Here is a 24,739-nt window from a genome sequence, read left to right on the forward strand (position 1 = left end):
CCTTCCTAAATTTTTAGTAACTTAAAGCACAGTCACCTGTCTTAGCTAAGATAAAGATTGAAAAGGTTTCTGCTCAATAATGTTGAGTTTAGCATGTTTTAAGGAAAGTAAGACATTCTTTGGGCCGGGCACGGGGGGTAGCAGTTGGAACAAAAGAAGTTGATTGAGAATGCTTGTATAATAAATTCTCTGCCCAAGAATCTCCTGCCAGAATTTTATTTGCTTAAAATGTGGATTGTTTTAAAATTTTGTTTTCGTGAGAATGATTGGCTGTTCACTTTCAACCCTTTCTTCCCCTGCGTTTTGTTTTCGCTTTTGAAAGCCACTCCATCGCAGAAGCAACAGGGACGCAAATCCGTGGAGTCTTCAGCCCCTGAGTGTGCTGCTCTCACAGGCTAAGCTGCAGCTCCAGGGAGATGAGCAGGTATTTGGCCTCGAGCCCAGTTTTCTTCCTGTTGTCAACAAATTGTTTATTTCCTACTCAGATTTTTTTTTTCTCACTCTCTTATCACAAGTCATGCTTACTAACAGCTTGTTAACAGTCTCTTTGGTTGGGACAAAGGTGAAAAATAGTAGTAATTTAACCTTCAACCTTTCATAGTTTACAAAGTCTCCCACTCCCTCAGACGCAGCATCAGTCCATGACCTTGATATTTTTATGTCTCACTATTGAGTCATTTTAAAGTCTGTCCCTGGCTGTGACAGCCAAGGCAGTGCTGAGCACAGGGACTGTCCCCGTTCTTGTAGCTGATATTACACATTGTCTAAGGATAGTGGAGACTGCACTCCCATTGCCTGGTGACTGCTGGGTCCCACAGGGACTCAGAAATGGGCTGTTTTCCAAGGCAAAGACAAGTGGTAAAGTGAGGATTCTGAAGCCGGATGCTTCTTCCTGGAAGTGCCTGTCATCAGAGAGCCTCTCTCCCCCACACCATGGGATTTATCTGGTACTATAAGTCATGGGCTTGTGAATATGTTTGGGCCATTGCACAGAGCTTCAAAGTACTTTTGAAAATGATGAGACGAGCAATTTTTCGACAGTCACAGCATATATGCTTTCATGGCTCTGCAGCAGGCAGAAGTGAATGTGGGATTTCTTTCTCCTATTTTAGTTTGTTTCTGATGATATATGAAGTATAGGAAGCTCTATACTTAATGTGAATTTAACAATATAGGATTGAACCAATTATTTCCTAACTCGCCAATTTTTTTTCTTAAGTTTTGCAGACTCACATTTTCATAGTACTGCAGAGTAATGCTTAAATATGTGGGTTCTAGGTCTAGTTTCTGACTTAGAACACCTACTAGCTGTGTGAGCTTGGGCAGGTTACGTAATAATTATGGTGTCTCAACTACTTTAATTAAAAAGTGGGGGTTAATCATAATGCCTAATCCGTAGGGTTGTTGTGAGGATGAAATATTGGTATGCTCAGTGATGTGTCTGGCACATCAAAAACGAACATCAGTTATTGGCATGAATAACAGAAGAACTTACTTGTCCTAGGTGACCATGTGTGCCTCAGTGAATCAGCGCTCTTAGGGTAGAGCTCACCTGGTTGAGTAATGAATTAACTTCCTAATTGGAATCAGGGAGGAATTCTCAGAGGACAAATTCTTGGAGCTGCTCAGGTGTTGATTTCTAAACAGAATGCAACTAAGTTCATCTATATTCCACACCAGCACGTGTCCATCTCCATTACCACCATGTGACTGAAAGCACGCTGTAATATTCCAAGGAGCTGACACAATCTTTTTTTTGGAACAATGTTAATTTTGGATTGTATTTAGGTATATTCAATAGCCATAAATCATAGAGTTACCAAGAATGAGATTGAGAGTCTGTTGGTACTCACAGTCTTCATTCAAAGGCATGACCCAATTGTTCTTTACACTGGAAAATATACAACATATAACATGCTATAGGATTCTCAAAGTAGGTATCTAAAGTTTTGGTTAAAAATATTTTACAGTCAGACTCTTGAGTATTTATGTATATTTTTAAATGATTCTCTTGATACAAGTAATATCACAACAAAAATAAAATTAAAATATTAATTATCACACTCCCATATCAAGTTGCTTTTCCTATCCATGTTTTTTTTTTCCAATCCATCTTTTTAGATTAATGTATGCTTTGTATATTAGAAGACAGCTATATAATTTGGTCTTTTGTCCTTGTTAGCCTAATTTACTATGAATATTTTTCTTTTTAAAAGATAATGTTCATAATTAATCATTTCAATGTATAGATAACACTCTATTGAATGGATGTACCTTGTTTTACCACTTCCTTCTTGTTGGATATTAAGGTTGTTTCTATAATATTGTTAAGATAACGCTACAGCATATAACTTCACACAAAACCTCTTTCCCTTTCTCTTGGATTCTTTCTTTAGTCATCAACTTAAAAAAGCAGAATTAGGCCAGGCAGGGTGGCTCACACCTGTAATTTCAGCACTTTGGGAGGCTGGTCAGGAGTTCAAGACCAGCCTGACCAACATGATGAAACCCTGTCTCTACTAAAAATACAAAAATTAGCTGGGTGTGGTGGTGTGTGCCTGTAATCTCAGCTACTTGGCAGGCTGAGGCAGGAAAACTGCTTGGACCGGGAGGCAGAGACTGCAGTGAGCTGAGATTACCACACTGCACTCCAGCCTGGGTGACAAGAGTGAAACTGTCTCAAAAATAATAATAAATAAAAAGCAAAATTATATTTATAATTGCTAACTTGATTATTTTATTCTCATAAAACATTAGCTCCTTGGTGTAGAAGGCCTTCAAAGAATAAAGATGTAGCATTTGGAGGAGGTTACGAAGCATAGCAACTGAGAGTGGATGGAGTCTTCTCCATAAGAGAACCATTTATTTTCTCAAAAAACATTAACTTAGTATTTTGCATGTTACAGGTGCTCTATTAGGCCCTGAGGGTAGAACAGTGACCAAAAAGACACAGTTCTTGTCCTCTTAGAGTTTGAATCTAGTATGGGAGTCATTTTAATCAAATAATTGGACAAATAAATAATAAATCACACTTCTATTAATAGCCACAACAATAAGAGGTGCATGTGCCATGAAAGTTTAACTATGGGAGTGACCAAGGGAAGAGGCTAGAGGGAGTAATATTTGAAATGAGTTTTCAAGGATGAGCAGGAGTTAAAGTAGGGTGCTAGGTGTTTTCTAGGCAGTGGGGAGAGCATCTGAGCTAGCCCTGTGGTAGGAGGGGAAAGGCTCATTGCAGACAAGAAAACCATGCTATGGTAGGTGGGGCACAGACATTGAGGCATCTTTTTTCTATGACAGGAAAGAACATTGCTCTAGAATATTTACTCTAAATGTGTATGGGAGAATTGAATCAATGTCTTTATTGTTTTTACTCTGCGAACTTCTCAGCTACTATAAAAACTGGTTCTAATAAAAAGGCCTTCAAAGTTGCTTTGTGGGCTATTTATGCTTATTAGAATATTCCATTTATAATAAGAAAAAGCTGCCATATTATTATATAGCTCTTTTTTAAAAGGAAATTCACATCTGTAACTTTATGTCAGTAAAAGACATTTCATTGTCAAGATGATCTCTGAGTGAATATAAACATTCTGGTTGACATTAAAGTTGGCCAATTCTCTGTGGAGACTATATATTGCATACGAAAGGAAGTCAAATTGCGTAAGCATCTCTTATTCTCAGAGTTCTCCAATCTAATAACTTCTTCACTGGGATATCAACTTTCTAAATGTCAGGACAAATTACAGCTATTTATGACAGTCTTTCTTGAGCTGTTAAAGACTCAAAATGCCTGCCCTTACCCTCTGGCATGGAGATAGTGATGAGTGGAGTTTGCAGTGCTTTGGGTCCATATAGATGCTCACATGTGATAAATGGGTGTGTTACGGCCACCTCACATTTATATAGCACTTTAAATTTTCTAAAGCATCTTCATGTTTACTTACTGTATTAAATGTCCAGTTTTAGAACCGGAATGGACTTTAAGGGTCATTTCATTTAAATGGGGTTTTTAATGAAAAAAGCATGTGTGTCATGTAATCTAAGACTATTTTCTAACTGCGACTTGTGAGTTAGTTGGTTACAAAATCAGTTTAGGGGATTGTGACTAGGATTTCAAAAGTATAATATATTGAAATGCAGTATGAATAATGTTTTCTGAAACTTTTGTTTCAGTAGCATTTATGTTTGTAAGCATAAGCATGTGTTTATTTGGTCATGCTTGAAATTTAAATACCATGATAAAGTGAATAAGTAGTGGTATTACTGGTTTTTAAAAAGCAATGGGTTTGCGAGCTGTGTTCAAACTGTAGCCTTGTAACCCACTAGCTAAGTGACTGTTGGAAAGTCAAATAAATTCTCTGCAACACAGTCTCCTCATTCTAATACCAATTGTGTCAATCTGGCTCAAGTTATAACAGAGGGCATATATGAAAAAGGTTCCCAGAAGATGTTTAATCGATATTAATAGTTTTTGAAATCCAACACATATTCACTTATAAACTGAGAGACTTACAAATGAATGGCCAGGTATTATTGACTTAATTTTACAAATGAAGAAACGGAAGCCAATGGGGGCAAATGGCTAATTCAAGACCACTTAACAAGAATGAATCACAATCAAATCCAGCTTTCCTGGCTCTTGGTCTTTCGTACTTACCTCCATTCTTGTCCCTTACCTTTGGAATTTCTTTTCCTGCCTCAGGTTCTTTATTCCTTTTTATATTAAGCAGAAAATAAATAACAACCCTCTTGTGTTTTATTAACCTAAACCTCTGACCTCAGAGTACCATGCTTACGTATTACAGAGGACGTCGCTAACCATAAACTATTGACTTACATCAACAGAGCATGCAATATTGAAGAAAGAAACAATGGGATGTCAGAAACTTTTATTTGCAGTATTTTTAATTTCAGTGATTAACTGTGATTTTTAAATAAGACATTTAATCTTTCTGTGTCTTACCAGAAAAGTTGGATTGAACTAGGCTATAGCTGAGAACTTTTTTGCTCAAAATATTTTGAGAATATAAGTATTCATTACTTACCAGAAGCGATTATTAATGGTGAAATGCATAAGGTGATCAGTAGTTCTTGTTTACTAAGCCACTCTATACATTGTTCTAGAGGCTTTCTATTAAAATATTTCAGTCTCAGGTTTGTAGAGACCTCCCATGGGAATTAATGTATTCATTTGCATTTATATGTTTGTTAATTTCAAGAGGAATAAAATACTACCCTTTCCATTCCTTGTTGCTGAACTACTGCTTAATCTGTAAGATTCAGATCAAATGACATAATTTCTGCAAAGCTGTCCCATTCACCCAGGTGGAAACAATCACATCTAAAGCCCTTAGCTATACCACTCACCAAAAGGTAATGTGATTATTTTTGTGATGTATACAAGACTGACGTAGCCTCAGAATCCAGACTACTGCCTGGCATATAATAGATGCCCAATAATTATTTACTGGATGAAAAAAGACTCTAGAAAAATTTATTAAGTCTCTGTGTATCTGTCAGTGAATGTAGTAGACAGAACAATTTACAGATTCTTCCATGATAGAAGGATACATTTATGGTAGAAACAATAATGAAGAGGATTGTGATAACTTGACTAACCAACAGCCTTGATAACTTGAAGGATACTTCCCCTATGACCCTTGAGCCATCCTCTAAAAGCAGCCCTGCAACCCATACATTGCATCTTCCTTCAATATTAGCTGTCTCTACAGAGCTCACATTGTTTTCTGGTGGAAATCATTTATTTAGAGCTGCAGAGAGTAGGATTCAGTTGGAAAGAGATGAGTGCACAGAGAGCATGGGATATTGGGAGAGAGTGTGCTTCTTCCTTGGAATGGAACTAACACCTTAAGAATCATCTCTGTTTGTAAGTGCTCCAAGGCTGCTTCTCAGGCACTTTCCTCCCACGCTTAGCACATTTGGATAGATGGAGCTAGAGTTAATTCACCGCAGATGAGCAACCAATAGCAATTTAGGTTCTAAGTTGATTAATCCAGGTAAGGGCAAAGGTTATTCAAGAGAGACAGCACGGGCTGGGCGCGGTGGCTCGCGCCTGTAATCCCAGCACTTTGGGAGGCTGAGGAAGGCAGATCACCTGAGGTCGGGAGTTCGGGACCAGCCTAACATGGTGAAACCCCATCTCTACTAAAAACACACAAAAAAATTAGCCGGGTGTAGTGGTGGGCGCCTGTAATCCCAGCTACTTGGGAGGCTGACACAGGAGTATCGCTTGAACCCAGGAGACGGAGGTTGCAGTGAGCCGAGATCACACCATTGCACTCCAACCTGGGCAACAGAGTGAGACTTTATCTCAAAAAAACAAAACAAACAAACAAAAAACAAAAACAAAAAAAGAGATAGCACGGCACAGTTCAGTGCTAATAGACTAGATTTGTTTCCGGTGTTGCCATTTACCAGCTGTGTGACCTTGCAGAAACCTCGTAATCTTTTTGAGATTCAGCTCTTCATTTGTAAAAAGGGAGGAATGATGCTTTCCCTTTTCTTTCATGAAATTGTTGTGAAGCTCAACTTAGGAAATAAATAGCTAAATGTTTATAAGTGTAAAATATTAACCTTTTCCATTTATATTTTTATGAATTAAGGAAATAATGACAGAGCAAATTAAGGAAATAGTGAGAGGGTGCACTGTATTTTTAGCCTGTAGTAAGGATAAATTTTAGTTTTGTGTAATAACAACAATGCTGATTATCTTGTGCTTTGTTTAACCTAAATAATTATGTAATTTACTCAGAAAATTACAGTGACTTGATATGCCATACAAACTGGCTTTTAGTTAGAAAAGCTAAAAGCAAGAGGTATCCTTTCCTAATCCCAAAGAAAGCCTATATTTCATTTGACTAAAATCAAAGACTTTTGAACACTGAATCATTTTGAACACAAAATTCAAACACCAATTCTTATCACAATCAAAATTTACTTTTTAAAGCACAAATAAATTCTGTTGATACCAAAAATTAATGTTTTCCCTTTAAGATGGAATGTTGTTTATAAACTATGTGTTTAGGGTTATATGGTTATACGTGTTTTCTAGCCTGCCTATAACTAAGATTCTCAAGGTGAGATGGGATTTAAGCTATCAATAGAAAATTGTGCTTTCACAGCTGTTATGGGCCAGATATTGAATCAGAAGTTTGTTTCAGTCAATGGTTCTTATAAAGAGAAAACAGCACTTAGTTTCATGGGGAATGTCACAGAAAAAGGGGAATCTGTTTACATTATTTTGTGTCTTTAATGGAGGGAATAAATGTAACCAGCTGATGTGACTGGGATGTTCATGGATTTTTACAGTAATTACATGAGATTCTTATTTCAGATAGTCTCTCATAGGGTAGATATCCTCCCAAAATAAAGGTAAAAGAAAGTATACATCTTTTCTTGTTATAAAATTTAAATGCTATAGTCTATAAAAGAGGAAACACAACAAGACACTTTGTTTGGGACCTGTCAAGATTTCAAACCCCAAAGGGTCTGTGTTTGGCAACACAGCCTGTCCTTCCCATGAGCCAGAGGCTTGTTTTCTCTGTAGCAGTTAGCATTGGCCACACACCTGGATTTGGAAGGACTTCTGAGGTGAGAAAAAACTCACTTTAGAGCTTTAGTATAAAGCTTGTCTTGCAGAATAGAAGTGTCAAGCAGGATAGAAGTGTGTTTGCATGTTAAATTCCGGCTTTTCTTAAACTCCTTAGAAAGACAGACTATCTCTTTTGTTTACATTTTAAAGACATAGCTCTCCCCGTAAAATGACAGGCTCCGAGAGTCTAGCTGCCTCATTTAATCTGTAGTGTCGGGAGAAACAATCCCTGGTGAAAATGTAAACACCAGACTATTATTTACCAGTGACACTAGCTCGCAGCCTAATCTTCAGGTGTCTCCGAAATCTATTTTTAAAGAAAGATCTTCCTTGTTCGGATCTTGTGAATGATCGCCATGCCTGACCAGGTGCTTCTCTTTTGTGACTATTCCTGGCTAGGCCTGTAAAATATGAAATGAATTTGCAGACAAGGCTTCCTTATCTGACTCCAAGAACTTTGTTCCCTTGAAGAGCAACCACGGATTTTGATCAAACCCCAGTGGGAACACAACATATTTTTAAAAGACACCTATCTGGGAGCTTACAAAGCATATTTGTAAGTAATGAATGCATTTGGCCAGGAGCAATACTATTCTTGTTGATTAAAACAAGATGATTTAGTTTTTTAGTTTTTGTTTTTTTTTTCAATGGGGTTAGTATGACTCATAGACATTAAAGCAGAGGTGCTTTCTGAAGAAGGTGTAGGGAGCAGAATCATTATTTTCCCAGAGTTTAATACAAAATAGTCATCTTCAAGGGAGGGTAGGTAATTGTGAAATGGAAAAATAATTTGTAGGATTTGGAATTACAAGCCCTGGATTTGAATAATGGCTGCATGATCCTAGGGAAACCACTTGATTTTTGAAACCTCAGTTCTCTCACATGTGAGAATAATTATTTTTCTTTTATTCTGTGGATCAAAAAAGGGATATCATATGTTTTAAAGTGTTCTATGTATATTAAGGCATCATGATATCACTGCTAATACTATTGAGAGGGGAAGGAAAACACGTAGAGGATAATGAAACAGAAATATTTGTTGTATCCTATATTCCATGCTAGTTATTATGCTATGTATCAAAGAGATAAGGATACAGGACACAGTCACTGGCCTCAAAAAGCATGCCTAATAGGGGAAGGAGGCTTGTCAGAAATATTGCAAGGCAGTGTGGTAAATGGAATAATAGAGATATCTGCCAGATTCTATGACAGCACCACAAAGGAAGCGAGTAACTTGGCTTGGCTTAAAAGGAAGAAGATACCAATCTTTAATGCCTGAATGATTGGTGGGAGTTCACTTCATGTTCCAGAGAGAAGGACATTCCAGAGAGAAGGGCATGGGGGAATGGAACGGCAGGACAGGATCAGGGATCTGCCAATAGTTTTCCGTGCCTATAGCTCTGCCCTTATGTGGGATAAACTGAGTTGGACTGGACAGGTAAGCAGGTGCTGGATTACGGAGGGTTACTTTCCGTGAGTAAGCATTTTCCTCCAGAAAAAGGTCTTAAGCAGATAGATTGTCATCCATTTATTTAACACCCACTTATACAGTATTGTACTTTCTATATTCCAGGCACTGTTCTAAGAGCTTTATAAATGTTAACTCATTTCATCCTCATAACCACCAGGCAAAGTAGATACTATTTTTATTCCAATTTAATTCTGAGGAATACAAAACAGAAAAGTTAAGTAACACTCCCAAGATGACAAAACTAGTGAGTGATGGAATCAGGATTTAACCTAGGCTCTGGAGTCCACGTTTTTAACCACTTCACTCTGCTGCCACTCAGGGTTAGTTCCATGGAGATCACTTTGTTTGCTATGCAGGGAATGGACTGGAGAGGAGGAAAGGCTGTAGGCAAGGAGAACAGTTGGGATGTGGGTGTAAGAGTCCAGATAAGAAATGATGCATCAGTGAGGTAAGAGAGAGGGACTGAACAGGTTCAAAGGATATGTTTGGAGATAGAATTGATAGCAACTGGCATGGACTGACTGTAGAGTGTAAGGGAGAAGGAGCTAAACATCTCAGTTGTCAGGGTGGGTGATAATTCCACTAACAAGACACTTATTAGAGTAAGAATGGGAGGAGAAATGTCATGTGGACTTGAAAGCAGCTGTGGAATATGAAGGTGCCATGTACAGAACACAAGTGGTTATTTGAAGCTGGAATTTCAAAGGAGGGTTCTGAGCCTGAAATTTAGATTTGGGAGTCATCAGTAGAAGTTGTGGGTATGTGTGTGATTGCCCAGGGAAGTTTTAGAAATGGATCCCTACTGGCTTGATCTGACTTGCAGATGTAAGTAGATGGTTTTGCTTCCTTTGGCATAAACTGAGAAGAGCAGGGAGCTTGGAAGAGAATTCCAGGGAGAGCCAGCTACCATCATGTCTCTAAGAGTAGAAGAATGAGAAGAAGCAAAGTAAATGATAGAATGCGCAAAATTATATCACTGTCTTCTGCCAGCAACTAGTTGAAATAGACATGTAAGTACTCAAAGTTTGACAACTTCAGAAATAATAGTTTATTAAAGAAGGGATAAAGGACGTCTACATGTTGAGGATTTCAGCACAGAGATTGCCGAGACCAGCTCAGTCGGGGAGACCCTAACCCAGTGGCGCTAGAGGAATTAAAGACACACACACAGAAATATAGAGGTGTGAAGTGGGAAATCAGGGGTCTCACAGCCTTCAGAGCTGAGAGCCCCGAACAGAGATATACCCACATATTTATTAACAGCAAACCAGTCATTAGCATTGTTTCTATAGATATTAAATTAACTAAAAGTATCCCTTATGGGAAATGAAGGGATGGGCCAAATTAAAGGAATAGGTTGGGCTAGTTAACTGCAGCAGGAACAGGCCCTTAAGATACAGATCTCTCATGTTATTGTTTGTGGCTTAAGAATGCCTTTAAGCGGTTTTCTGCCCTGGGCGAGCCAGGTGTTCCTTGCCCTCATTCCTGTAAACCCACAACCTTCCAGCTTGGGCATTAGGGCCATTATGAACACGTTACAGTACTGCAGAGATTTTGTTTATGGCCAGTTTTGGGGCCAGTTTATGGCCAGATTTTGGGGGCTTGCTCCCAACAGAGATAGAATATCTAACTATGTAAAAAAAAAAGTTCTATTTAGACTCTCCTGGAAGGACATTTGAATATGTCTACTTTGAGCTTTGTTACAAGCAAGGTGAATGTGAGTTCTTGCAGTTGGGATTAATCATACAGTTTGGTTCACAGGGATGAGCTTTCTAAGTGCATTTCTGGAGGTACTGCTGCTTTCACAGAGTACTGGGAGCTCTAACTTAGCATTTCACCCACTGTATAAGTGATCTTAACATACAAAAGATTATGTCAGTGGAATAACCAACAATTTCAAGAGAAGAGCATGTTCTTTATGTTCTCTTTGGGAAGACTTCACGTTGAAATTCAGCCTTGAAGACAGTGGTGATGATTACATCATGACAAGAGTCATGAAAGAAAAGGATCATACTTAGTGTTTGCTGGGTGATATTATAGGGATTGTATTAGTCTGTTCTCATGCTGGTAATAAAGACATACCTAAGACTGGGTAATTTATAAAGGAAAGAGGTTTAATGGATTCACGGTTCCACACTGCTGGGGAGGCCTCACAATCCTGGCAGAAGGCAAAGGAAAGCGAAGGCACATCTTACATGGTGGCAGGCAAGAGAGCTTGTGTAGGGGAACTCCCTTTATAAAACCATCAGATCTTGTGAGACTTATTCACTATCAAAAGAACAGCATAGGAAAGTCCCACCCCCATGATTCAATTACCTCCCAGTAGGTCACTCCCATGACATGTGAGAAATATGGGAGCTACAATTCCAGATGAGATTTGGGTGGGGACACAGCCAAACCATATCATTTTTACCTCATTGTACCATGTAATTTTGAAATGCCACTAAGAAAAAATGATATCACCAGAGACTTTTTTGGTGAGTGTATTTACCTCAGTAATGTTAAAGCATCAACTACTAAAATTTAGAATGATACAGTAAGAAGTCATTTTGATTAGAAAAAAATTAATATTTAGAAATGTTTAACATAGATCAGCTTAGACCTCAATATTTTTAGGTGCGTGTGGTAGGGCAGACTACATTTAATTTGGGCCTTGCTCTTGTACTTACTACTTAACTATCAGCAGAATTTTAAGAGGAAAACTTCTATGTTTGAATATTTCAAGTACAGTGAATTTGATTATAAACACTTTAGAGACAAACTGTTTCCATTATAATAAAAGTCATGTTATCTGGCACTGCACCCATTGGAAAGTTTTAGAAACCAGCATTTTTCAAATGTAGCTCTTCATTCTTGAAACTTGTTTCAACACTACAACTAAAGCAACAGGCTAGAATTCCTATGAGAATAATATCAAAAAGAACAAAAATAAGATGCTACCGGTGATACAGAAGGAGAGAACTGTGATGTCATTTATTTTAGATATATCTTACTGTGTAACAAACTACTCATAACAAAGGCTGAAAATGACAATGGTTTATTATCTGTCACCATTCTGTGCATTGCCTGAGTGGTCCTTCTGCTCTGGTCACTCAGCTGGCCGCCTTGACCTGGTAACTGGGCTGGAATGAAGCATGCAAGGTGGCCTTTCTCACATGTCTGGGGCCTTGAAGCTGACTGTCAGCTAAGCTGATTGATTTCTCCTCCAGAGTTTCATGTGTCCTCTCTCTCCACAGTTTCTTCACATGGCCCCTTTCTTCATGGCCTCTCTCTTCCTCATAGCACGACAGTTGAGCTCCCAGAGAGCAGGAGTAGATACTACCAGTCCTCTCAATGTCTAGACTTCGAACTCACACAAGCCCCTACCATTGCATTCTATTGGTCAAAGCAAATCACAAGGCCAGATTCAAAGGAGGGGAAATAATCTTTACCTCTTGATGGAAGGAGTGGCCTGTAACTAAAAGAACTGGTGGAATTGCTGGTGACCATCTTTGGAGATAATCAACCATATCATTAAGAGTAGATTTTCTGGGAAGAGGGCTGCTTTGGCTCTTTCTAGGGCAGTGGTAAATACACAAACACTGGTACTTATTAAAAATCTGAATACACAAACTAAATACACAAACACTGGTACTTATAAAACACCCTATTGGTCTGTCTGTGCTGGGAAAAATTGTTCCTCAGTAGCCTTTGCTGGATTTTATTAGATCTGCCCCTTTGTACTCACACTTTATACTCATTACTTGACAGAATCATTATAATATACAAAATTTAAGATTATACTGTACTAAAGATTACATTTCTACTAAGTGTTAGGTTAAATGCTGGGGAAACAGCCATAAACAGCCAGACATAGTTGCTTCCCTCATGCATTTTAGTACTGAGATCTTAAGGTACTTTTTCAGTGTAAAGATTTTTAGAGCATGGAAATAAAAGTAAGATTTACACTCAAATGAAGTTATTGTCGACCTCTGCAGAGAACACTTAGTTTTGTCAAATGAAAAATACTCTCTAGTCAAAATGAGCTTTTGCTAAATTAAATATTCTTAATTTAAAGGGACACTTAAGAGATTTGCCAGGGAAAGAACCAGCAGTTGACAACTGTCGAATGCCATTCAATGACAGTGACTTCTGCTTAAGTGAGATGAGCTTACCATCTCAGACAGAAAGTTGTTTTATTTTATTGATTTATTTATTTATTTTTATTTATTTATGTATTTATTTATTTTTGAGACAGAGTCTTGCTCTGTCACCCAGGCTGGAGTGCAGTGGCACGATCTTGGTTCACTGCAACCTCTGCCTCTCGGGTTCAAGTGATTCTCCTGCCTCAGCCTCCTGAGTAGCTGGGATCACAGGGGCGTGCTACCACACCTGGCTAATTTTTGTATTTTTAGTAGAGACAGGGTTTCACCATGTTGGCCAGGCTGATCTCAAACTCCTGACCTCAAGTGATCCACTCTTCTCGACTTCCCAGAGTGCTGGGATTACAGCCGTGAGCCATTGCGCTTGGCCTTTTTTGGCTTATTAATCATAATGCTTGCATTACAAGGTGGGTGGGGTGTATGCATATGTGTGTACAAATTGTCTTTGCTTCCTTCTTCCTAATCTTGTATGCTTTCCACTTTCCTGGGTGATGCAGGGTAAGGGCTGATTTACAGGGCTCTTGCGTTCTGGCTTATATGCCTAGTCTAAGCTTTAAAATACATGGTTGAGACAACTAAACCAAGGTATACACTTGGGTAAGTTTTGAAAGACTCTGCGACTCTTCTCTTAAAAAGGGGTGAAATCAATTGAGGTGTGTTTTTGTTAAAATCGTCTTTCACTAGCAGGAAGTATGCCTAATGCCACATATAGAACATATGCTACAAATCAGGGTGAGTCCTTGGTGTTACAGTGCTGTCAACGGTTCATATCGTAGGCATGAAATCATTTACCAAAATGGAAATGATTAAGCTGATTGTTTAACATCTGGCCTACCATCAGTGTTAGTGTTTTTAATCATCCAAAATACACCCCTCATGTCACTCTTAATTTGTTACATACTAGGTGCTGGTTTAACAGTGCTGACCTAAGTCCGGGCACAGTGGCTCACCCCTGTAATCCCAGAACTTTGGGAGGCCAAGGTGGGCAGATCATAAAGTCAAGAGATTGAGACCAGCCTGGCCAACATGGTGAAACCCCATCTCTACTAAAAATACAAAAATTAGCTGGGCGTGGTGGCACGTGCCTGTAGTCCCAGGTACTCAGGAGGCTGAGGCAGGAGAATCGCTTGAACCCGGGAGGCAGAGGTTGCAGTGAGCCGAGATTTCACCACAGCACTCCAGCCTGGCAACAGTGAGACTCCATCTCAAAAATCAAAACAACAACAACAACAACAACAACAACAAACAGTGCTGACCTCAGGTATTTAAGTGACAGACCAAAATGTTTAAGTACAGAATAATATTCACAGGTACCCCATTCTAAATTATAGAATTTCCATAACCTGTGATGTTAAAATTAATGCAATTTGTCTAACTGCAGGTACTCGGTAAATACCTGAAAGTGTTAACAAGAAAATGAACAAGGGAATGCTTTTTACCCAAGGCAATTAGACATACTAATTTTCTTCAAGAAACTCTCCCTTACCTGGGCTTCCATGACTCCTATCTCTGTTCATACTCTTCTTACCACTCTAACCCTTTCTTCTGAGTTTCTTTTTCTGCCTTTTCTTCCTATTCCTTTCCTTTAAATATTGCAGTTTCCTTAGCTTTGACCTCTTTTCTTATTCATTTCACTCTCTGGCCACTCGTATTCATTTGTATGAGCTTTTGATTCTAAGCCCTTAAGTCCCATGCATACTTAGGCCTAGGTCAAATCTCTTTTCAGAACTTTAAAACCCACATACTCAACTATCTCTTAAACATCCCCATTTAATTTTCACAAAAGAATTTTATAATTAAACATGCCAAAAGAGGAGCTCATTACCTTTGTCACCAAACCTCCATTCCTAAGCTCCAGCCATTCTGGTTGGCACTGTCATCCAGTCATCAACCCAGGAATACAGGATTCATTTAAAGATGCCTCCCTCTTCTCACTTTGATTTCATAAGTGACTAAATCCTGTTGATTATTTTTGTGTAAGATCCTCCAATAACAGGCCTTGCCTTTCTCTTCAACTCTAAATCTACTGCCATAGTTCAGATCCTTATCATCTCAGCCTGGACAATTAGGATAGCATCCTGTTCTTCCTTCTCTAACCTACACTCTATGCTGCCCACTTCCCCCTACCATGAAAACTTTTTAATACAAAAATCTTATTACTTTGTGGCCCTGCTTAATAATTTAGCAGTTGTCTTCAAATTTTATAGATATATAATGTACCTCTTCAATAAAGAAAAAACATCAACATATGCATATATATATACATATATATATCTTAAAAACTGTCAACATGTATTACCACACAAATATAAGATGCACACAAATCAAAACGATGGTATTACTATAATGTGGTTAGACATTTAAATATTTACTTCCAACATTTCAGCACTGTATTCCACAGCACTGGGGGTGGATACACCCCACTGTGGAAGCCTCTGAACGACTGGATACATTCCAAAGTTTTAATATGGTTTACACTGTCTGGTCTCTCTCTGCCTCTCTAGCCATAGACCTTAACACGCACAGTTAGCATGCTGTAATTTAGTCATTCTGAACCACTGTAGCTCCCTGAGTGCACTATGCTGTTGAATACGTCTGTGCCTTTGCTCCCTCTGTTTTCTCAGCTCGTAGCACCATCTTCAGCCTTGTCTATCTGGTGACCATTTATTGAACTTTTAGGGTTCCGTTTATAAACCTTCTCATTACTGAAGTTTTTCCTACAATTTTACTCAATAATGCTCTGTAGAGAACTTCTGCAAGAATGATGTGTTAGGCCATTCTTGCATTGCTATAACAAAATACCTGAGACTGGGTATTTTATAAAGGAAAGAGTTTTAATTGGCTCATGGTTCTGCAGGCTGCATGGGATGCATGGTTCTGCAGGCTGCATGGGATGCAAGGTGCCAGGCAACTGCATGGCTTCTGGTGAGGCCTCAGGAAGCTTAAAATCATGGCAAAGGCAAAAGGAGAGCCAGCATATTACATTGCAAGAGCAAGAGAGAGAGTGAGGGAGGTGCCACATACTTTTCAACAACCAGATCTCACAAGATCTCACTTGCTATTGAAAGGACAGCACCAAGTGGATGGTGCTAAACCATTGTTGAGAAATCTGCCCCCATGATCCAGTCACTTCCCACAAGACCCCAACTCCAACAATGGATATTAACTCTCAATATGAGATTGGGAGGACACATCCAAACTATATCAAACACTCACACCTCACTGCATTTCCTTGTACCTATAATTGTCTACTGATGCCAGACTCTGTAATCTGGTGTAGTAGAGTTCTTTCCAACCCCCGCCTTTTTCTCTCACTTTGTATTTCTAACACTTAAGCAAATAGTATGATTACATGTTTGCCGAGTGCGTGAATAAATCTATGTTTATCTGAAAATCAGAAGGTAAAGCCAAGTCCTAGAATAACAAGCAAAGCTACCAATTAAAGAGAGTCAGCTATTTCTAGACAACTGTAATATGTTTGTAATTGACATTATCTCCAATCCCTCAAATAGTCGTAGAAGGTATATGTCTTATTCTGTTCATGCTGCTATATCAGAATACCATAGAATAGGTGCTTATGAGTAACAGATACTCATTTCTCATAGTTTTCAAGGCTGAGAAATCCCAGAGCAAGGCACCGACACAGTCAGTGTCTGATGAGGGTTCTGTTCCTTGATTCACAGAGATCTGTCTCCTCACTGTGTCTGCTCATTGTAGAGGAGGTGAGGATGGTCTCTGGGAGCCTCTTTTAATAGGTTACTAATCCCATTCATGAGGATTCCACCCTTACGATCCAGTCAACTTCCAAAGGTCCCACATCCTAATATCATTACATTGGGGAGTGGAGTTTCAACATATGAAGTTAGGGGGACATAAAGATTCATTCCCTAGCAGTATATATTCTCATATCTATTTTACATATGAAGGAGCCAGGATGCAGAGATGAGAAGAGTTTTCTCCACATCAACCAGGAAGTTTAATTATATTGCTGGTGGTGGCCATTGTCACAATATCTCCTACTTTTCTTCTTTTTCTTAATTACTTTTATCCTCCTGATTAAAAAAAAAAACCTCTTTCAATGGTTTCTGATTTGAGGAGGAAGGGGCCACCCATTATGAGTGTTGCTTACCACTGAGAACACTCCTTCCCACCCACCCACAGTAAGAAACCATAATGTATGAAGGGCATTTCTCAGTTCTTAGCTTTATTCCCCTCTGTTCATTTATTTGGGAGATTTTAAATGACTTTTCTTTGGTTTCAGAGATATGGGGTTTTGTTTTACTTTTCTGCATCTGGTTCTAGATCCATGAAAAACTACTTTGTAATACTGAATCACAAAGAAATGTATAGAATAAAAATAAGGTAAAAAGCAGAGAAATAAGGACTTCTCATGATCCACCTACCCAATTTAAAAATTAGTACATTTTGGCCAAGATGGCCTATTTGGAAGCAGATACAGTCCATGGTTCTCATGGAGAATGAAAATGGCGAGTTAATTCCATATCTTCAACTGAGGTATCCAGGTTCTCACATTGGGACTGACTAGGTGGGCGACTCAACCCACAGAGGGTGAGGAAAAGCAGGGTGGGGTGATGGCCCACCTAAGAACAGCTTGGAGCCAGAAGAGCCCCCACCCTCAGCCAAGATAGGTGGTGAGTGTTATGTGACCCTGCCCAGGAAGCCACACTTTTCCCATGGATCTCTGAAACCCATGGAACAGGAGACCCCCTTGTGAGCCCATGCCACCGGGGTTTTGGGTCCAAAGCACAGAGATGTGCAAAGTCTTGGTGGGGTGCAGGGTGGCCACTCCAGCACGCACAGAAACCTAGGAGTTGTTACGCATATTCTAGCCCTGGGAATTCTGGCAAAGCAGGAGATCTGATCATTTATTCCCCTAGGAAGGGGTCTGAATCCAGGGAATAAGTGGCATCATTATGTGGGCCCCACTCCCGTGGCACCTCACAAGTTAAGACTCATTTGCTTGGAATTCCAGCTGTTTAGGAGCAGCAGGCTGAAGACTGCCTGAGACTGCCTGAGACAGACCAAGTTCCTGGGGGAGAGTCAGACACCATCTCTGCAGTTCCAGTCAGCCATTGTAGCCTGCTGGCTCTGGGGAGTCTGGGCAGTCCAGAACAGCAGTCTTCCACAAGGCAGCAGATCATGGCCAGACTGCTCCTTTAAGTGGGACCCTGATCCATCCCTCATCACTGGGTAGGGGCTCCCTGTGGGAATTTCAGCAACACCAGCCAGGGTTATACAAACAGATCTCTGATCTCTCCCTAGGATGGAGCCCCTGGGAGGAGGGGCAGCCACTGTATCTGCAGTTCAGCTGACTTACCTTTCCTGCCTGCTGGCTCTGGAGAGTCTGGGTAGTTTGGATGAGGGGTGTTTCCCCCAGTGCAGTGCACTTGCTCTGCCAAGGGGCAGCCAGACTACTTCTTTAAGTGAGACCCTGGTCCCATTCCTCCTGACTGGGTGAAACCTCCCAACAGGGGTCTCCAGACACCTACAGGAGCATTCAGGCTGGCATCAGGTCTGTGCCCCTCTGGGACAGAGCTCCCAGAGGAAGGAGCAGGCTGCCACCTTTGCTGTTTCACAGTCTTCACTGGTGATAGCTCCAGATGTGGGAGGGACCAAAGTCACTAGGGTCTGGAGTGGACCCCCAGCAAACTGCAGCAGCCCTATGGTTGCTAACAGTCAGTGGCCTGTTTGTTAAAGAAAAACAAATGGAAATCAACAACAACATCAACAAAAAGTCCCCCCAAAAACCCATTCTGTGGTCAGCAACCTCAAAGACCAAAGGTGGATAAGCCCACAAAGATGAGAAAGAATCAATGCAAAAATGCTGAAAACTCAAAAAGCCATAGTGCCTCTTCTCCTCCAAATGACTGCAACACCTCTCCAGCAAGGGCACAGAACTGGGCTGAGGCTGAGATGGCTGAATTGACAGAAGTAGGCTTCTGAAGGTGGATAATAACAAACTTCAGTGAGCTAAAGGAGCATGTTCTAACCCAATGCAAAGAAGCGAAAAATCATGATAAAACAATTTCGATGTTGATAACTAGAATAGCCAGTTTAGAGAGGATCATAACTAACCTGATGGAGCTGAAAAACACAAGATGAGAATTTCATAATGCAATCACAAGTATCAATAGCAGAATAGGCCATGCAGAGGAAAGAATATCAGAGCTTGAAGACTATCTTTCTGAAAAAAGACAGGCAGGCAAGAATAGAGAAAAAAGAATTAAAAGGAACAAACAAAACCTCCAAGAAATATGGGACTATGTAAAAAGACTGAACCTATGACTAATTGGGGTACATGAAAGAGATGGAGAGGACAGAACCAAGTTACAAATCATACTTTAGGATTTCATACAGTAGAACTTCCCAACCTAGCAAGACAGGCCAGCATTCAAATTCAGGAAATGCAGAGAACCCCAGTAAGATACTCCATGAGAAGATCAACCCCAAGACACATAATCATCAGGTTCTCCAAGGTTGAAATGAAAGAAAAAATGTTAAAGGCAGCCAGAGAGAAAGGCCAGGTCACCTACAAAGGGAAATCCATCAGACTAACAGTGGACCTCCCAGTGGAAACCCTACAAGCCAGAAGAGAGTGGGGGCCAATATTCAACATTCTTAGGGAAGAGAATTTCTAACCCAGAATTTTATATCTGGCCAAAGTTAGCTTCATAAGTGACGGAGAACAATGTTCCTTTCAGATAAGCAAATGCTGAAGGAATTTGTCACCACTGGGCCTGCCTTGTGAGAGGTCCCGAAGGAAGAACTAAATATGAAAAGGAAAAACCATTACCAGCCACTACAAAAACACAATGAAGTACACAGACCAGTGATACTGTGAAGCAACCACATAAACAAGTCTGCAAAATAACCAGCTAGCATGATAATGACAGGATCAAATTCACATGTAACAATATTAACCTTAAATGTAAATGGACTAACTGTCCCAATTAAACATTACAGAATGGCAAGCTGGATTAAGAGCCAAGACCCATTGGTATGCTGTCTTCAAGAGACCCATCTCATGTGCAAAGACACACATAATAAAGGGATGCAGGAAAATTTACCCAGCAAATGGAAAGCAGAAAAAAAAAGAGTCACATTCCTAGTTTCTGACAAAACAGACTTTAAACCAATAAAGATAAAAAAAGACAAAGAAGGGCATTACATAATGGTAAAGGGTTCAATTCAACAAGAAGAGCTAACTATCCTAAGTATATATGCACCCAATACTGGAGCACCCAGATTCATGAAGCAAGTTCTTAGAGACCTGCAAAGAGACTTAGACTCCCACATAATAACACCTCACTGACAATACTAGACAGATCATTGAGACAGAAAATTAACGAAGATAATCAGGACCTGAACTGAGCTCTGGATCAAGGAGACCTGATAAATATCTGCAGAGCTGTCCACCCCCAAACAACAAAATACACATTCTTCTCATGGCCAAATGATACTTACTCCAAAATTGGTCACATAATAAGAAGTAAAACACTCCTCAGCAAATGCAAAAGAACTGAAATCATAACAATCCCTCAGACCACAGCACAATCAAAATAGAACTCCAGATTAAGAAATTCACGGAAAACCACAAAACTACATGGAAATTGAGCAATCTGCTCCTGAAGGACTCCTGGGAAAATAATGAAATTAAGGCAGAAATCAAGAAGTTTGTTTGTACTAATGAGAGCAAAGAATGTACCAGCATCTCTGGTATACAACTAAAGCACTGTTAAGAGGGAAATTTATAGCACTAAATGCCCACATCAAAAAGTTAGAAAGACCTCAAATCAGTAACCTAACATCTCAGCTAAAAGAACCAGAGAACCAAGAGCAAACCTCAAAGCTAGCAGAAGACAAGAAATAATCAGGATCAGAGTGAAACTGGAAGAGATAGAGCCAAGAAAAACTCTTAAAAAAATCAGTGAATCCAGGAGCTGGTTTTTTGCAAAAATTGAGAAAATAGACTACTAGATAGACTAATAAGGAAAAAAGAGAAGAATCAAACAGATACAATCAGATACAAGGGGGATATCACCAGTGACCCCACAGAAATACACACAACCATCAGAGAACACTATAAACACCTCTATGTACCTACACTAGAAAATCTAGAATAAATGGATAAATTCCTGGACACGTACACCGTCTCAAGACTGAACCAAGAATAAATTGAATTCCTGAATAGACCACTAATGAGTTCTGAAATTGAGGCAGTAATAAATACTCTACCAACCAAAAAACCCCGGGACCCGATGGATTTACAGCTGAATTCTACCAGAGGTACAAAGAAGAGCCAGTACCATTTCTACTGAAACTATTCCGAAAATTTGAAAACAAGGCACTCCTCCCTAACTCTTTCTATGAGGCCAGTATCATCCTGATACCAAAACCTGGCAGAGATACAACAGAAAACGAAAACTTCAGGCCAGTATCCCTGACAAACATTGATGCAAAAATCCTCAATAAAATACTAGCAAACCGAATCCAGCAGCACATCAAAAAGCTTATCCACCACAATCAAGTTGGCTTCATCCCTGGGATGCAAGGTTGGTTCAACATATGCAAATTAATATAGATAATTCATCACATAAACAGAACTAACAACAAAAACCACACAATTAGCTCAATAGATGCAGAAAAGGCCTTCAATAAAATTTGTCATTGTAAGGTCAGCCAAGAGAAAGGACGAGAGAGAGAGAGAGAGAGAGACCCAAGTTCAGGCAAGCCTTTATTTAACCTGCTGGCTGTTCCATTACAGACAGAGGAGACAGCCTTGAGCTTACAAGATGATGGGTTTATATTGGGGAGAGAGATCCTGGGGTCGTTTGTTGGTTAACTTTGCCATATGTCATCTTGTGATGTTTATGGTAGCAGCTAGATGAAGGAACTTAGAGGAGGGAGTAGGTAAAGTTTGTTTATGCTTCCCACCATCTCCCTCTGTGTGGTCTGGATGGTTTGTAATTGGGGTTTGTTTATTGTAGCAAGACCTGATAGGTAAAGTCTGTTGGCTTCACCATGGCACTTAGATAAGGGCTTAGAAATGTAAAAAGGTTTGGGGGAAGGGTGGGCAGCACGGAGAGGTTTGCGGGGAGTGTTGGCAATACCAAGAAGTTTTTGGGGTGGTTTGTCCCTAACCGTTGTCCCTTTATGTTAAAAACCCTGAATGAACTAGGTATTAAAGGACCATGCCTCAAAATAGTAAGAGCTGTGTATGACAAACCCACAGCCAATATTATACTGAATAGGGAAAAGCTGGAAGCATTCCCCTTGAAAATCAGGACAAGATAAGGATGCCCTCTCCCACCATTCCTATACAACATAGTATAGGATGTTCTGGCTAGGGTAATCAGGCAAGAGAAAGAAAGAAAGGGTAATCAAATGAAAACAGAGGAAGTCAAATTATCTTTGTTTGCAGGTGACATGATCCTCTATCTAGAAAACTCTACTGTCTCAGCCTAAAAGCTTCTTAAGCTGATCGGCAACTTCAGCAAAGTTTCAGGATATGAAATCGATGTGCAGAAATCAGTAGCATTCCTATACACCAACAACAGACAAGCAGAGAGCCAAATCATGAATGAACTCCCATTCGCAATTGCCACAAAGATGATAAAATGCCTTGGAATACAGTTAACAAGGGAAGTGAAGGTCCTATTCAAGAAGAACTACAAACCACTGCTCAAGGAAATCAGGACACAAAGAAATGGAAAAACATTCCATGCTCATGTATAGAAATAATCAATGTCATGAAAATGGCCTTACTGGCCAAAGTAATTTATCAATGCTATTCCTATTAAACTACCAGTGCCATTTTTGACAAATTAGAAAAAAAATCTATTTTAAAATTCATATGGAATAAGAGCCCAAATAGCCAAGACAATCGTAAACAGAAACAACAAAGCTAGAAGCATCATGCTACCCAGCTTCAAACTATACTACAAGGCTACAGTAACCAAGACACCATTGTACTGGTACAAAACAGACACATAGACCAATGGGACTGAATGGAGAACTCAGAAATAAGGCCACACTCCTACAACCATCTGATCTTTGACAAACCTGGCAAAAGCAATGAGAAAATGATCCCCTATTTAATAAATGGTGCTGGGAGAACTGGCTAGCCATATGCAGAAGATTGAAACTGGACTCCCTCCTTACATAGTATACAAAAATGAAGATGGATTGAAGACTTAAATATAGAACCCAAAACTATAAAAACCATAGAAGAAAATCTAGGTAATACCACTCTGGACATAGGCATGGGTAAAGATTTCATGACAAAAATGACAAAAGCAATTGCAACCAAAGAAAAAATTGACAAATGGGATCTAATTAAACTAGAGTTTCTGCAATCAAAAGAAACTATCATCAGAGTGAACAGACCACCTACATAATGGGAGAAAATTCGTGTAATCTATGCATCTGACAAAGGTCTAATATCCGAGGTCTACAAGGAACTTACAAAAAATTACAAGAAAAAAACAATCCCATTAAAAAGTAGGCAAAAGACTTTTGGAAGAAAATTTGTGTAATCTATCCATCTGACAAAGGTCTAATATCCAAGGTCTACAGGGAACTTACACAAAATTACAAGAAAAAAACAACCCCATTAAAAAGTAGGCAAAGGATATGAACAGACATCTCCCAAAAGAGGACATTCATGGGGCCAAATATATGAAAAAAAGCTCAACATCTCTGATCATTAAAGAAATGCAAATCAAAACCAAAATAAGATGCCATCTCATGCCATACAGAATGGTGGTTATTAAAAAGTCAAGAAACAACAGATGCTGATGAGGTTGCCGAGAAAAAGGACACTTTTACATTGTTGGTGGGAGTGTAAATTAGTTCAACATTGTGGAAGACAGTGTGGCAATACCTTAAAGACCTAGAACAAGAAATGCTGCTTGACCCAGCAATCCCGTTACTGGATATATACCCAAAGGAACATAAATTATTCTATTATAAAGATACATGCACATGTATGTTCATGACAGCACTATTCACAATAGCAAAGACATGGAATCAATCCAAATGCCCTTCAATGGTAGACTGAATAAAGAAAATGTGGTACATATAACATGGAATACTATGCACCCATAAAAAGGAGTGAGATCATGTCCTTTGCAGGGATATGGAAGGAGCTAGAAGCTGTTATCCTCAGCAAGCTAATGCAGGAATAGAAAACCAAACACCGCATGTTCTCATTTATAAGTAGGAGTTAAATGATGAGAACATATGGACACATGTGGGGAAACCACATACACTGGGCCTGTTGGTGGGGATGAGGGGAGAGAGAGCATCAGGAAGAACAGCTAATGGATGCTGGGCTTAATACCTATGTGATAGGATGATCTTTGCAGCAAACCACCATGGCACTTGTTTACCTATGTAAAAAACCTGCACATCCTATACATGTACCCTGGAATTTCAAATAAAAATTGAAAAAAAAAAAAAGAATTAGTTCATTACCAAGGCATTTGAATC

At 39.5% G+C, this 24,739-nt stretch overlaps 1 protein-coding gene across 4 annotated transcripts in view; it reads left to right on the plus strand.

Moving 5' to 3' along the window:
• The window catches only part of UNC13C (unc-13 homolog C), a 795,839-nt gene that overhangs the window by 80,269 nt on the left and 690,831 nt on the right, over positions 1-24,739 (plus strand). For 3 of the 4 annotated variants that reach the window (XM_047432538.1, XM_017022220.2, XM_017022221.2), the window contains one exon: positions 323-424. The exons of the other annotated variant lie outside the window; for it this stretch is intronic. The gene's annotated coding sequence lies outside the window, so the exon portion shown is untranslated. The remainder of the gene's footprint in view (positions 1-322; positions 425-24,739) is intronic. 4 annotated transcript variants of the gene reach the window in all.

This window comes from Homo sapiens, chromosome 15 (assembly GCF_000001405.40).
Source record: "Homo sapiens chromosome 15, GRCh38.p14 Primary Assembly".
Classification (NCBI taxonomy): domain Eukaryota; kingdom Metazoa; phylum Chordata; class Mammalia; order Primates; family Hominidae; genus Homo; species Homo sapiens.